This window comes from Homo sapiens, chromosome 12 (assembly GCF_000001405.40).
Source record: "Homo sapiens chromosome 12, GRCh38.p14 Primary Assembly".
Lineage (NCBI taxonomy): Eukaryota > Metazoa > Chordata > Mammalia > Primates > Hominidae > Homo > Homo sapiens.
In genome coordinates this window covers 5,818,618-5,833,668 of record NC_000012.12, presented here as the reverse complement: position 1 = coordinate 5,833,668, position 15,051 = coordinate 5,818,618, and the positions used below count along the sequence as shown (strand labels likewise).

Sequence of the window (15,051 nt, the reverse complement as noted above, 5' to 3'; positions counted from 1 at the left end):
TCTGACAAGAGGCAGAGCTCAGGCGGTAATGCTTGCTCACCCACCACGCACCTCCTGTTGTGTGGTCCAGTTCCTAACAGGCCATGGACCAGTACCGGTCAGTTTGTGGCCCCGGGGATTGGGGACCCCTGTTCTAAAGGATGGAACTGGCATAGTATCACTCCTGCTATACTCCACTGGTTAAACATCCACAGATCCAATGCAGATTCAAGGGGGGTGGGAACAGAGATGCTACCTCTTAAAAGAATATGTGTGAAAAATCTGTGGCCATCATCAATTTATCACAGCTTTGCTATGAGAAATACAACTTCTGTGTCTCAATGACTCCATTTGCAGGTTATAAAGATCCAAAGCTATAATGTGTGCAAAGCATGCTATGCATTATAAAAAAAACAGTATGCACTATAAATATTAACAATTACCTTGGTACTAAATCTATGCCTTACTCAAGGCAGGTACTCATTAAATGTTTAATACTTTGAAAGCAAACTCATTTAAACACAGATATTTCCTAAGAAAAACATAAAGAACGGGATGCTGGATGATCACATAGAAGCGTGGCGCAGTTTTAGAGTATAGACTTTGGATTAGGTTGACATGAGTTAAATCCAAGCTCTGTCACCCAGTTCCTATCTATGTGGCCTTTGTTAATTCGCCTCACCTCTCTGAGCCTTAATTGCCTCATCATATGGAAATAGTATTACCTACCCAGCAGGGTTGCTGTAAGCATTGGAGTTAATTTGTGTCAAGCACCTACTAGGGTCACATTGTAGGTGTGCAGTTTTTCTAAGATGATATCGAGTCATATAGAAAGTTTGTACTCCTCACTTATTTCTCTACACTGCTCACCTCCATGAGCTCAAAGGATTGAGAGGAGTCAGGAGTCCAGGTCCTTGTGAGAGCACTGGGGAAAAGGGAAAGGCCCTCCTTCTTGTTTCTCCCAGTCTCTTCCTCTCTCCAATGTTCACCTCTGGGAATCTGTGTCCATGCAGCTTTTTTTTGTGAAGCCATTCCTCTCTGCTGGAAGTGGCCCCCTTTTCAGACCTGTGGCTCTTCCTTTCATAGATGTACGAGATCAAAGCAGGAGGCAGCATTGCAAAGAAGTTCAGCGCGGCTCTGCAGAAGCTGAGCTCGCACCTGCAGCCCCGAGTTCCAGAACACAGCAACAACAAGATGAAAAACCTCTCCTACCCATTCTCCAGGGAGAAGATGTACCTGTGAGTATTGAAGCTGCTGGAGCAGAGATGTGGGAAGGGATAGGAAGGAAAATTGAATACTGTTCTATGACTCAGCCCTGGGGCTCCCAAAGTGGGTGCCCCAGTGCCTGGGAGAGAGAGTAGGAAGCATGCTCTCATGGTGACATTGTCCCTGTGCCTGCTTTGTGAACCCCCTCCCCATGTGAGATTGTCCCAAACAGCCAAGGGTGCTTGTCCAGCAGGAAATCCACCATTTCACCATTTTGCAGGATGGAGGGCAAACCAGGGAGCAGCCAACAATAAACTTTGGAACTGTGTGAGAAAGTGGTCAGACACCTGTGTATCTTCTGTAGGAAAACCTTCTGCCCAATTGCCAGTCTAATAGGGTTTCAACAGGATATGATAAACCAGAAAGAAGGTGGATGAAGCTTCTGGGTTTCTGGATTCCAGCTGCCTACTTGTACACTCATTGACTCTCAGGGGTCTTTCCCTGTCCCTGCACCCTGCCTAGGAAGAGTGAATAAAAGCTCTTCACAGAGATAGCCACTTGGAAACGTTTGGAAGGGGGAGCCACAGCTGGGAAGTGGGAGATGCAGCCGCCAAGCATCAACTTTGCTCTAGGAGCTAAGGAGAAAATAAACAACCATCGAGGGTGATGAGAAAATGGAGCAAGAGAGGGAAAGGCCGGGGCATGGAAGGGCAGAGAGGACAGAAAGAAGGACCTTCTCATTTTAGGAGGTGGAAGTTGTGGAGCAGTGTTTCTGCTGTCCATAAGAGACCATCTCCTATCCATCTCTGCTGTGTTTGATATTATCCTACACACATGAATATGCTGTTTCATTTGCATATATTTACCCTCTCATTGAGTCCTCATGTCCCCTTGCGTGGTGGCGGGCCAGATCTAACTATCTTCTATTATAGATACCAAAGTCTAGGTCCATCCAGGGTCATACCGCCCTAAGTGGCTGAGCTGGGCCTTGCATGGTGACTGGTGGCTTGCTGCTCTTTCTGTGTCCTGTGGTGCTTCCCTGCATCCCCTTCCCTGGGCCTTCATTTATGCTGGTGCTGGCATCTGAATGGTCACTTCACATGCACCTCCGTTCGTTTTACTTCTGTTGTCCTTCAAGACTGGTTCATCAACACCTTCCTTTTGAAGGATATTCTGCTCTTCCCAACCAGAAGCACGCGCTTCACCCTCTGAACTTTCATAGCAATGGTCTGCATGTTACTATGTTCTACTCTGTGTCAGTTACTTGGAGAAATGTACCTTCCAGTGACTGGGGCTCCTGGGGTGCTGGGAGCGTATTTCCTTCCTTCATCAGTGCATCCTCTAGCACAGCTTCCTCAGCATGACAAACATGCCCCATGTGCTATTTTCTGAGTGAAAGCTCAGTATATGAAGTTAAAAACAGACCCAGCCCTTGCATAATTAAGATTTTTCTAATGGATGAGATGACAGTGACATTAAATCAAATTTTGAAGAATCAGAGTGATAATCCAACACCCTGAAATGATACCCTTTTTGTTTTGTATTTTTCACTGTCTTTGTTCATGCACCAGTATCTTTTCTACATACTTTCCATTTGGAACCTTATCATCATATAATATTTTTCTAACATGGTGTAATCTTTTTCTTTACACAAAGTTTTCATAATTATAAATTTCAATGACTGCATGATACCCTATCCTATAGATTTGGGCATTGCATCTTATTGCTATAATCTTTGTTATAAATACCTTTTCAATAAGCATTTTTATTTATGTTATTTTTCTTTCCTTGTGTTGAGTTTCTTCCCTAAGATAAATTTCTAGAATACGTTTTTAGAATTACTGAGTCAAGAAGGGCATAAACATCGTGTGTGTGTGCACCTCATAAGTCTTGCTATGTTGCTTTCTAAAGATTTGTTGTGGGTCTGGGGTGGCAGTGGTCTCAGGGCAAGGGTAATGAAATGAATTTGCCATCTGCTCTCTTGGTGTCTCCAGGTACAACATCCAGGAAAAGGACACCTTCTTTGATAATGCCACCCGCAGCCGCATTGTAAGTAAATGGATGTACTGTGTTAGGAAAGAGGATGGGGAAAGGGCTGAGTTCCTAGTTGGCAGGGCATTCTCTTACCCTCCCTGCCACCTCACACCGTTATTTGCTTGGAGTTGCCTAGCAACAGAGAAGAGTATGCAAGAGCTTCCCCATTCCCCAAAAGAAACAGCAAATAACTGCCCTCACTCGTGGTTTAAGAGGAGCGTCTTCTCTTTATGGGTTCTCCATTAAAGTTCTTCTTAGAAAAAAAAGAAAAACAGAGAAGGTCATAGTTGGTGCGGGTGTTAGTTAGGTGAACCCCTTGATTTACAATTGAGGAAACTGAGGCTCTGAGAAGCAATGCATTGAAAAAAAATTATATAGATCGTTAGCGTCAGAACAAGGATCGTTAGCGTTAGAACTAGTCCTTCTGATTGTTGGGCCACTGTGTTTGTTTATGCATTTTCCCTTCTTTCAACTCCCATGACAGAGTCATGTGAATTTCTATAACAAGGAATGCTAGTTAGCCAATTTGCGCAAGAATAATATCACCAGCCCATTCAATAGAAAGCCAACGCTTGTGACCGTAGCTCTTCTTCTACAGTCGTTTTGCCTTCATGTCAAGTGTTTGAATTTTGTAGGATGATTGGTTCTAATAAAAATCTGCATATGGCCTGTGTTTCTGTGGCCTCTGCATGAGCTGTAGAACATCTTCATTCACCGATCAGTTTATTCTCTATCACCCTAGAGGTCACATAGCCTATGGGCAGAAGAGAGAAAGAGGGGCCCAAGGAATGCCAGAAACTTACACATGCCCACATGGGACGTATGGAAGTGCATTTCCATTGATCCTTACCAAAGAACTGAAGTTTCCACAGGAGGAATGAGGATTAGATACCTAGAAGGATCTCCCAGCTAATAGGGTGGTAAGAAAATATATGAATAAGAAGGGACAGGTGATTAGAGGAGGCTAGGCTATTTCCCAGGCACACTGCAAACATGGCGTTAACTCTTACTTGCAGGATGGGCAAGGACATCTCAGATCCCTTAGCCTAGTGTTTTAGGCAGAGTTAAAATGGGCATAGATCTCTTTTTTTTTCCAATGGAAAAAGGCATTAACGTCCCATTTTCTTGGTTGATGCTATTACAAACCAATTAAATCTCACTGTGGCTTGGGTCCCACGACTGTGGGGGAGTTATAAGGTGTTGTGGAGATTACTCGATAATTGCAAAGTACTCGTAAAATAATACAATGCCATATAAGTGCTGTTCCTAATTATTATTGCTGTTGAATTACTGCACTATATTAGGAGCAGAATTAAACACTCTTGGGCCCCGTAGTTATTTATTTACCACTCCCTTTAGGCTGTGGCTGGAATATGGGAATGTAAATAATGATGGAATAACACTTCTTCTAGCATTCATCTCTCCTTCTGGAAGCATCTTCCTTTCCTCAGTCCACCCCACATTGAGAACAGGGGAAAAGAGCCTTGAGTTTTTTCCTGGGGTCTATTCTGCCCTGGACTTTGGTTGGAGGACCTCACCCACATCTGTGGATGTCTCCTCTGTGCCTGCTTCTTTGTGGGTGTCTGAGCACCTCAGCTGTTTGTTGCAAAGCAGACTTCATTGCTGGGCATCTCTTTATAGACTGGCATAGGCTGGGAACTCAGGAGGTCACTCGTTGGCCAGCAGGTTTACACTGACCCACCTTTGTCCCTCCCTGATTCTTTTGTGGGAAGCACCCCTTTCCTCCCATGTAAGAAACACAGTCCCCTGCAGGCCCCATAGGCCAGGGGATTCTGTAGGCTGTTTTGGGCATGTAGGGCTTCAGGCAGGCAAAGCCACTGAGTCGGCAGCTGCTGTGTGCCTAGGACTGTGCTCTAAGACATGAATCTTCAAGGAAGTGTATGATATGCTCTGATCAGGGAGGCAAGATGAGGACCCAGGAAAAAACCAGAGAAATAAAGACATCAATGACCAACATAGAGGTAGCTCCTTTGCTGTTGCAGAGCACTTTCCTGTGCACGGTCTGGCTGGCGTCCCCGAGCAGGTGGGCGAGATGGCCCCATTACAGATGCAAGCTGACCCTCTTGGCGTTTGCTCAGGACCCTCTGCACCTACCTCCACGTTCGGAGCTTTCTGCTACCACACTGGCTCTCCCTGTCAGCCGGGCTCCAGGCTGGGGGAGGGGGCCCGCCCCTCCCCGGGACCCGCCAGACAGAACCCCGCCTTCCCTGAGGTTCCCCGACGTGGGCGGCAGACACTGTGCCCTACTCCACAGACCCAGGGCTTCCTCCCAGCCCTCCCGAGGCTATGTGGTCTGGGGTGGGCTCCTCTGTTTTCCTTACTTCCTGTGACTGCCGTCCATTTCTAGCCTTTTATTCATTTGTTTTTCTCAGGGTGGGGCGAAGGGGCGGGGGATGTGTGCGCGGGCCTTACATCCCTTGTTTCCTCAAAGTCCTCAAGTCTGAGTGGGGTTGATGTGCGGGCCATGAGCCAGGCACATGCTTGGCTTCGTCCTGGCTCCAAATGAGCCCGGGCGCCTCCCGCCCCTGCCAGGCAGTGGTGAGGGTGACACACGGTGGAGGGCGGGGGGGAACTAGGAGCTCACAGCTCTGCTGTCGTCCCCTTTTAGGTGCACGAGATCCTGAAGCGCACAGCCTGCTCCCGAGCCAACAACACGATGGGTAAGGACCCCAGCCCGCGGGCAGGGTGCTGACGGGCGCTGAGGCGGCTCCCGCCCCGTGCTTTCAACAGCTCCCTTGGTCGGCAGCAAAGAACAAAACAAGCAAATGCCCCCCACGGAGAGGCTGCTTAGCTTGGGCTGAGAAGCCTGCCTTGGCCCCAGGAGCAGCGGGGGTCCCATTTCTCAGTGGGGCTGCCCCCAGGCTGTTGTAACTTCTCCCAGGCCCTCCTCCCAGGTCTCCGGGCTTTCTCTTTCTCTTTTCCCTGTACCGCCCACACCTGCCACTTTATCCGGATAATTCTGCGGCTCCTCTGTTTTTCACCATTTCCAATAGTTTCTAATAACCCAAGAAAAGCGTCTTAGAGGTCCTTTAGTCCAGCCTTCTCATATTATGTAAGAAGAGACGAACCTCCAGAGAGGGGTCATGACTGTCCTAAGCCCACACAGCACGTGATAGCTGAGTCTGAGTGAGCCTCTTCTAACTTCAGCATTCTTCTCACCATATCCGGCTGAATCTGTTTGCCCTGTGGTTTGTTTCTTAAATATTAGGGTAATTGTCTTGGAAGCATTTGGGACCAAGTATAAGGCAGGCAGTATAAGGCAGGCAGTCCAGATCCTGACGGATTGTGTGGAAGACATCTGTGATGGCCCAGGTACAATGTGAGCTGTGCCCATAACCCCATGAGACTGCTTTTTCGAAAAATGTGCCAAAAAGTCACGCACAAACACCTTTTGCACAGGAGTCATTCTTGCATGTTGAACCCTTGTTCCCAAGGTGCTGCCATCTCCAAGTGGCATCTGACAGCTTTGGGAGAGCTGCCTTCAGAATGCGCTCTGGGATGGCAAATCTTTGGCTTTTGAGGCAGCTTTAGGTTGAAAAGAGTTCAGAGTCATTTGGAGTCCTGTCTACTGAATAGAGGAGGTGATCAGGCTCAGGAATAACAATGATAATGATGATGTTAGCTAGCTAATATTTGAGAGTGTGTTGTGGGGCTTGTAAGCTGCCTGGGTACCCAGGGCACAGTGCTGGAGAAGGAATCAGAATGGGTTTTATGCCATGATAGTCTTTTTAGAATAGTGCTTAACCTCTCAACAGGGCAATTATGTTTGCTTGAATTTGCTTTGCTATATTCATCTTGCTACAAGATTCCAAATAACAATGCACTTTTTAAAAATCAGACCTTCCATGTTATGTTATTTGTCTGGAACACGGTGCTGATGAGGCGAGGCTGAGTAAGTGGGTGAGAGAATTAGCTTAAAAAACAGAGAAATTTTATATATACATATCAAGGATATATATATATATATATATATATATATATATATATATATGAGTTTATTAAGCATTAGCCCACCGACTCAAATGTTAATCTCCTTTGGCAACACCCTCTCAGACACACCCAGGATCAATAGTTTGCATCTTTCAGTCCAATCAAGTCGACACTCAGTATTAACCATCACGAATCCACCCATTGTCAACTTGAACCCATACACATCTCCTGAGATCATACATAATCTTCAAATAAAAGCAATAATAAGGTCATAATTACACCTAACGTAATACAACTATCCTTCGTACAACCGGAAATGCACTCATCCCCAATCCAAATACTATTACATAAAGTTAACAATACCTAAATGCTGATATGAGGTCAATAAATCTTATGTCACTTGATAAAGGAAAAAGGAAATAAAATGAAGATATTTCTTAGTGCAAGTGTATACATGCACAAACATGTTTTTAACAAAAGAAGGAAATACTCATGACAATTGGCAGTCCTCGTTTCTGCAGCTGGTCATGTGGTCGTAGCTGGTGTTGATGACTACCTTCTTCACTAAACATTCTGTATTCCCTTTGCCTTCAGGAAGCACCTCAGCAGGTCGTGGTTTTCTTCCTGGTGGAGTGACCCAAACCATTCCTGAGGGGTCTGGGCCATTTGTATTCCTGCCTGGATTGGGCTGTTGTGGTTTCCCATTGACCTTAATCACAGGGCATGATAATACTAAGAGATGCCCTAACGAATCTCCTGTATTGCATGTACACTCTTCCTTACCTCTGTTGTGGAGTAGTAGACTGATTTCATCTTGATGGTCTGGGTCAATCACCCCAGCCAACACTGTAATTCCCTCCTTAGCCTGTTGACTTAAAGGTAGGAGGAGCCCAAAGTGTCCAGGTGGCAATCTTAACTTCCAGTTTAATGGAATTGTTGTTGTGTCTCCTGGTGGCAGCATTCCTCCCTCTGAAACTAAGATCTCTAGGCCAGCAGAACGTAATGCTGTGGGAACAGGAAGCAAAAATTTTGCTAGTGGATCACTAGGGGCGATGGTGAGTGGTGCCACTTCCACTTCAGTGCCTTGATTCTTGGACCCGTGAATCCTGGCTATGGGAGAAACAGTACCATATATTGGATGGTGATTCAGAGCATACATGGCCTTCTGGGGAACTTTGTCCCAGCCCAGCAAAGTATTGTCACCTAGTTGGTGTTGCAATTGTGACTTCAAAAGGCCATTCCACCATTCTGTCAATCCAGCTGCTTCAGGATGATGGGGAACATGGTAAGACCAGTGAATTCCATGAGCATGAGTCCACTGCCACACTTCTTTAGCTGTAAAGTGAGTGCCTTGGTCAGATGCAATGCTGTATGGAATACCATGATAGTGGATAAGACATTCTATGAGTCCACGGATGGTAGTTGATATGGTTTGGCTGTGTCCCCCTGCCAAAACTCAACTTGAATTGTATCTCCCAGAATTTCCACATGTTGTGGCAGGTACCCAGGGGGAGGTAATTCAATCATGGGGGCTGTTCTTTCCCATGCTATTCTTGTGATAGTGAATAAGTCTCACGAGATCTGATGGGTTTATCAGGGGTTTCCACTTTTGCTTCTTCCTCATTCTCTCTTGCTGCCACCATGTAAGAAGTGCCTTTCCCCTCCCACCATGATTCTGAGGCCTCCCAGCCATGTGTAACTGTAAGTCCTTTTTCTTCCCAGTCTCGGGTATGTCTCTATCAGCAGCATGAAAATGGACTATTACAGTAAATTGGTACCAATAGAGTGGGGCATTGCTGAAAAGATACCCCAAAAATGTGGAAGCAACATTGGAACTGGGTAACAGGTGGAGGTTGGAACAGTTTGGAGGGCTCAGAAGAAGGAAAATGTGGGAAAGTTTGGAACTTCCTAGAGACTTGTTGAATGGCTTTGCTCAAAATGCTGATAGCAATATGGACAATAAGGTCCAGGCTGAGGTGGTCTCAGATGGAGGGGAGGAACTTGTTGGGAACTGGTGTGAAGGTGACTCTTGTTATGTTTTAGCAAAGAGACTGGTAGCATTTTGCCCCTGCCCTAGATATCAGTAGAACTATGAACTTGACAAAGATGGTTTAGGGTATCTGGCAGAAGAAATTTCTAAGCAGCAAAGCATTCAAGAGGCGACTTGGGTGCTGTTAAAAGCATTCAGTTTTATAAGGGAAGCAGAACATAAAAGTTTGGAAAATTTGCAGCCTGACTATATGATAGAAAAGAAAAACCCATTTTTCTGGGGAGAAATTCAAGCTGGCTGCAGAAATTTGCATAAGTAGCAAGGAGCCTAATGTTAATCCCCAAGACCATGGGGAAAATGTCTCCAGGCCATGTCAGGGACCTTCACAGCAGCTTCTCCCATCACAGACCCAGAGGCCCAGGAGGAAAAAATGGTTTCATGGGCTGGGCCCAGGGTCCCTGTGTTGTGTGCAGCCTAGGGACTTGCTGCCCTGTGTTCCAGCCGCTCCAGCTGTGGCTGAAAGGGGCCAACATACAGCTCAGGCTGTGGCTTCAGAGGACGGAAGCCCCAAGCCTTGGCAGCTTCCATGTAGTGTTGAGCCTGCAGGTGCACAGAAGTCAAGAATTGAGGTTTGGGAACCTCTGCCTAGATTTCAGAAGATGTATGGAAACGCCTGGATGTGCAGGCGAAAGTTTGCTGCAGGGGTGGGGCCCTCATGGAGAACCTCTGCTAGGGCAGTGTGCAGGGGAAATGTGGGGTTGAAGCTTCCACACAGAGTCCCTACTGGGGCACTGCCTAGTGGAGCTATGAGAAGAGGGCCACCCTCCTCCAGAACCCAGAATAGTAGATCCACTGACAGCTTGCGCTGTGTGCCTGGAAAAGCTGCAGACACTCAGTGCCAGTCCATGAAAGCAGCCAGGAGGGAGGCTGTACCCTGCAAAGCCACAGGGGTGCAGCTGCCCAAGACCATGGGAACCAACATCTTGCATCAGCGTGACCCAGAGTCAAAGGAGATCATTTTGGAGCTTTAAAATTTTACTGCCCTGCTTGATTTCAGATGTGCATTGGCCCTGTAACCCCTTTGTTTTGGTCAATTTCTCCCATGTGGAATGGCTGTATTTACCAAATACCTGTACCCCCATTTTATCTCGGAAGTAACTAGCATGCTTTTGATTTTACAGGCTCATAGGCAGAAGGGACTTGCCTTATCTCAGATGAGACTTTGGACTGTGGACTTTTGGGTTAATTCTGAAATGAGTTAAGACTTTGGAGGGAAGGCATGATTGTGGACTTTTGGGTTAATTCTGAAATGAGTTAAGACTCTGTTGGGAAGGCATGATTGGTTTTGAAATGTGAGGACATGAGATTTGGAAGAGCCAGAGGTGGAATGATATGGTTTGGCTGTGTCCCCCTGCAAATCTCAACTTGAATTGTATCTCCCAGAATTCCCATGTGTTGTGGGAGGGACACAGGGTGGGTAATTGAATCATGGGGCCTGTTCTTTCCCATGCTATTCTCATGATAGTGAATAAGTCTCATGAGATCTGATGGGTTTATCAGGGGTTTCTGCTTTTGCTTCTTCCTCTTTCTCTCTTGCCCTCTTGCCACTGCCATGTAAGAAGTGCCTCCCTCCATGATTCTTGGGCCTCCCCAACCATGTGGAACTGTAAGTCTAATTAAACCTCTTTTTCTTCCCAGTCTGAGGTATATCTTTATCAGCAGTGTGAAAATGGACTAATACAGTAGTCTTGGCAGAAGCATTGCGTACAGGATAGGAAAACCCATACCCTGAGTAAGTGTCTGTTCTAGTGAGGACAAACCTCTGCCCTTTCCATGATGGAAGAGGTCCAAAATAATCAACCTGCCATCATGTAGCTGGTTGATCACCCCCAGGAATGGTGCCATATTTAGGGCTCAGTGTTGGTCTCTGCTGCTGGCAAATTGGGAAGTCAGCAGTGGCTGTAGCCAGGTCAGCCTTGGTGAGTGGAAGTCCATGTTGCTAAGCCCATGTGTAACCTCCATCCCTGCCACCATGGCCACTTTGTTCATGGGCCCATTGAGCAATGACAGGGGTGGCTGGGGAAAGAGGTTGAGTAGTGTCCACAGAATAGGTCATCCTGTCCACTCCACTGCTGAGGTCACCCGCTGGTGAACACTCACATGGGATACAAATATCTTCACAGTTTTTGACCACTCAGAGAGGTCCATCTACATACCTCTTCCCCAGATTTGTTTGTCACCAATTTTCCAATCATGCTTCTTCCAAGTCCCTGACCATCCAACCAAACCATTGGCTACAGCCCGTGAATCAGTATATAATTGCACATCTGGCCATTTCTCCTTGCTTGCAAAGTGCACAACCAGGTGCACTACTCGAAGTGCCCACTGGGAAGATTTCCCTTCACTGCTGTCCTTAGGGATGTCCTAGAAAGGGGCTGTAGTGCTGCTGCAGCTGTCCACTTTTGGGTGGTGCCTGCGTATTGTGCAGACCCATCTGTGAACCAGGCCTGAGTCTTCTCTTCCTCTGTCAACTGATCATAGGGAGCTCCCCACGAGACCATTGGTGTAGACTGGGGAAGAGACGGCAGGGTGGCAGGAATGAAGACCATGAGCATTTGAGCCACTTTCTCATGTAACTTACTTGTGCTTTCAGGACCTGCTTGAGCCCAATCACATATATACCACTTACGTTTGATGATGGAATGCTGCTGTTCATGACCCACTTTATGGTTAGATGGGTCAGAAGGCACCCAGTTCATTATAGGCAGTTCAGGTGCCATGGTGACTTTATGACCCATAGTCAAACGTTCAGTTTCCATCAAAGTCCTGTAACAGGCCAAGAGCTGTCTCTCAAAAGGAGAGCAGTTATCTGCAGAAGATGGCAGGGCCTTGCTCCAATATCCTAGAGGCCTGCGCTGTGATTCACTTGCCAGAGGCTCCAAACAGCATCCCTATCTGTGACTGACACCTCAAGCACCATTGGATCTGCTGGGTCATGTGACCCAAGTGACAGAACAGCTTGCACAGCAGCCTGGACCTGTTGCAGAGCCTTCTCCTATTCTGGATCCCACTCAAAACTGGCAGCCTTTCATATCACTTGATAAACGGGCCGGAGTAACACATCCAAATGAGAAATGTGTTGCCTCCAAAATCCAAATAGGCCCACTATGTGTTGTGCCTCTTTCTTGGTTGTAAAAGGGGCTAAATGCAGCAGCTGATCCTTCACCTTAGAAGGAATATCTTGACAGGCCCCACAGCACTGGACCCCTAGAAATTTTACTGAGGTAGAAGTTCCCTGAATTTTAGTCAGATTTTTTTCCCATCCCCTGGCATGCAAATGTCTCACCCATAAGTCTGGTGTGTTTGCTACTTCTTGCTCACTGGATCCAGTCAGCATAATGTCATCAATGTAATGGACCAGTGTGATATCTTGTGGAAGCGAAAAACGATCAAGGTCTCTCCAAATAAGATTATGACACAAAGCTGGAGAGTTGATATAACCCTGAGGGAGGACAGTAAAAGTGTATTAATGGCCTTGCCAGCTGAAGGGAAATTGCTTCTGGTGGGCCTAATGGACAGGAATGGAGGAAAAGGCATTTGCCAAGTCAGTGGCTGCATACCAGGTACCAGGAGATGTGTTAATTTGCTCAAGCAATGAAACCACATCTGGTACAGAAGCTGCAATTGAAGTTACCACTTGGTTAAGCTTACAGTAATCCCCTGTTATTCTCCAAGATCCATCTGTCTTCTGCACAGGCCAAATGGGAGAGTTGAAGAGGGATGTGGTGGGAATCACCACCCCTGTGTCTTTCAGTCCTTGATGGTGGCACTAATCTCTGCACACCCTCCAGGGATGCGATATTGTTTCTGATTTACTATTTTTCTAGGTAGAGCCAGCTCTAATGGCTTCCATTTGACCTTTCCCACCATAGTAGCTCTCACCCTACCAGTCAGGGAGCCGATGTGGGGGTTCTGCCAGCTGCTAAGTATGTCTATGCTAATTATGCATTCTGGCACTGGGGAAATGACCACAGGATTAGTCTGGGGACCCTCTGGACCCACTGTAAGTCAGACCTGACCTGAAACTCCATTAATTATCTGACCTCCATAAGTCCTTACTTTAACTTGAGGATCACAATGACGTTTTGGGTCCCCTGGAATCAACGTCATCTCAGAGCCAATGACCAGTAGTCCCCAAAAATCTGATCATATCCCTTTCCCCAATGCACAGTTACCCCAATGCACAGTTACCCTGATAAAAGGCTGGAGGTCTCCTTGGGGAAGGATGGGAGAAAGATTAACAGCATAAATTGTCAGTAGTATAGTGGGGTCCTTCCTCAAGGGGACCCAACCTCCCCTTCAATCAAGGGGTTCTGGGTCTGTAAACTGGCTCAAGTCCGGAAATTGATTGATGGGCCATGATTCTCTGTTTTTATAATTCAAATTAGTCTTTTGTCCATTTGACCTAGAAGTTTTCTGCTTATATAAATTAAGTAGGAATGCAGTAGGCTTCCTATAAATTTCACTTCTAGGAACACTGTGATTAATAAGCCAATGCCAGAGCTCTACATAAGTCAGATTATTCTGATTGCTGCTTTGCCTCTGCTGTCCATTACAGTAGGTACACCCACCTTGCCTTTGATGGTTGAGTGCTGCCACTTGGCCCCTGCCACTTCAGGATCCAATTATTCCCATTGTATTTAAATTTTATAGTTGAGTGACTGTGGTTCCCACTGTTAGATCTGACATACAGAGAAGAGTGATTATAGGGCCCTTCAAAGATGCAGGTGCTGCCCTCACAAATCTGTTTTACAAGGCATTGGTCAAGGGTATATCTTCTGGACTTCCCAACTAGGATGAGTAGGTCTAAAGTGACTAATCCACTCCACCATCCCAATCTCCCTAACCCTTTGGATCTCTTCCTCTACGTTAAACCAAGGGAGATCAGGCATTTTCAGCTCACCACAGTGGGCCATGTTTTAATCCATATTTCAGCTAACCAAGCAAATAAACTATTAGAACCCCTTTTAACTCCCCAGGCTGCAACATTAAATGCAGAGTCCCTACTTAATGAGCCCAAATCAATAAATTTAGCCTGATCCAACTCTATGTTCCTTCCACCATTATCCCATATCCTTAATATCCATTCCCATGCCTGTTATCCAGATTTCTGTTTATATAAATTAGAAAACTCAAGCAGTTCTTTTCTAATGTAGTGCACCTTCTCGTGGGTCATACTGTCAACCTCACATCTAAGGGCCCACTGGGGCTTCAGTCTATTTATAGGTCTAGAAGCAAACAGGGGTGTTGGGGGTGGCTCCTGAGGAGAATCAACATTATTTTGCCTGGCAACTGCCTCAGGGGAGGCCATCACTGTTGCATCTCATTCTTTTGCAATCAATGCCCTGACTTTAACAGTAGATACCTGGAGAGGCTGTGAATGCACCTTTCACTGCAGGTCAGCCACTCGCATGATAAGAGCTTGTGTCTGTTTTTCCACAATTTCAGCTCTTTGTCTTCAGGAGATAAGACTGTCACTCAGGGCCATCTTAGCAGATTTGATGCTCAGAATCTGCTTTTGAAGTTGGGAGTTAGAATCCCTGAGTTCATCATTTTCTTTCATCACTTTGTCCACTGAACTTAGGAGCAACCAACCGCTTCATTATGTTCCTTGGTTCCCTGCATATGGTCAAAGGTATTATGTACAGAGTCACTAATCTCCTTGCCTGTCATGAGCAGTGAATCAGGAGTGTCAAATGCATTTATTTTGCATAACTCTCTAAACAGTTCATGCCAAGGACTATCAGTGTTCTCCATACTATTAGAAGTAGAGTCCTTAGCATTTTGGGGTCTAATCATATTAAGCAGCCAACTCCAGAAACCCCAAAACC

The 15,051-nt window shown here is 46.2% G+C and overlaps 1 protein-coding gene across 3 annotated transcripts in view, besides 3 other annotated features; it reads left to right on the top strand.

Moving 5' to 3' along the window:
- Positions 1-15,051, top strand: part of ANO2 (anoctamin 2) — a 383,578-nt gene that overhangs the window by 112,564 nt on the left and 255,963 nt on the right. For all 3 annotated transcript variants that reach the window (NM_001278597.3, NM_001364791.2, NM_001278596.3), the window contains 3 exons: positions 1,066-1,217; positions 3,180-3,234; positions 5,849-5,900. In NM_001278597.3, the coding sequence (NP_001265526.1) occupies positions 1,066-1,217; positions 3,180-3,234; positions 5,849-5,900 (259 nt within the window). The remainder of the gene's footprint in view (positions 1-1,065; positions 1,218-3,179; positions 3,235-5,848; positions 5,901-15,051) is intronic.
- Positions 5,633-6,411: an enhancer, noted in NCBI's record as "NANOG-H3K4me1 hESC enhancer chr12:5936424-5937202 (GRCh37/hg19 assembly coordinates)". NCBI's record gives its function as "activates a minimal SCP1, AML or CMV promoter by ChIP-STARR-seq in primed H9 embryonic stem cells {active_cell/tissue: H9 hESC(primed)}" and the evidence as "EXISTENCE:reporter gene assay evidence [ECO:0000049][PMID:30033119]".
- Positions 5,892-6,186: a silencer, noted in NCBI's record as "tiled region #1102; HepG2 Repressive non-DNase unmatched - State 24:Quies, and K562 Repressive non-DNase unmatched - State 24:Quies". NCBI's record gives its function as "represses a minimal TATA promoter and a strong SV40 promoter by Sharpr-MPRA in HepG2 and K562 cells {active_cell/tissue: HepG2 | K562}" and the evidence as "EXISTENCE:reporter gene assay evidence [ECO:0000049][PMID:27701403]".
- Positions 14,347-14,860: an enhancer, noted in NCBI's record as "NANOG hESC enhancer chr12:5927975-5928488 (GRCh37/hg19 assembly coordinates)". NCBI's record gives its function as "activates a minimal SCP1, AML or CMV promoter by ChIP-STARR-seq in naive H9 embryonic stem cells {active_cell/tissue: H9 hESC(naive)}" and the evidence as "EXISTENCE:reporter gene assay evidence [ECO:0000049][PMID:30033119]".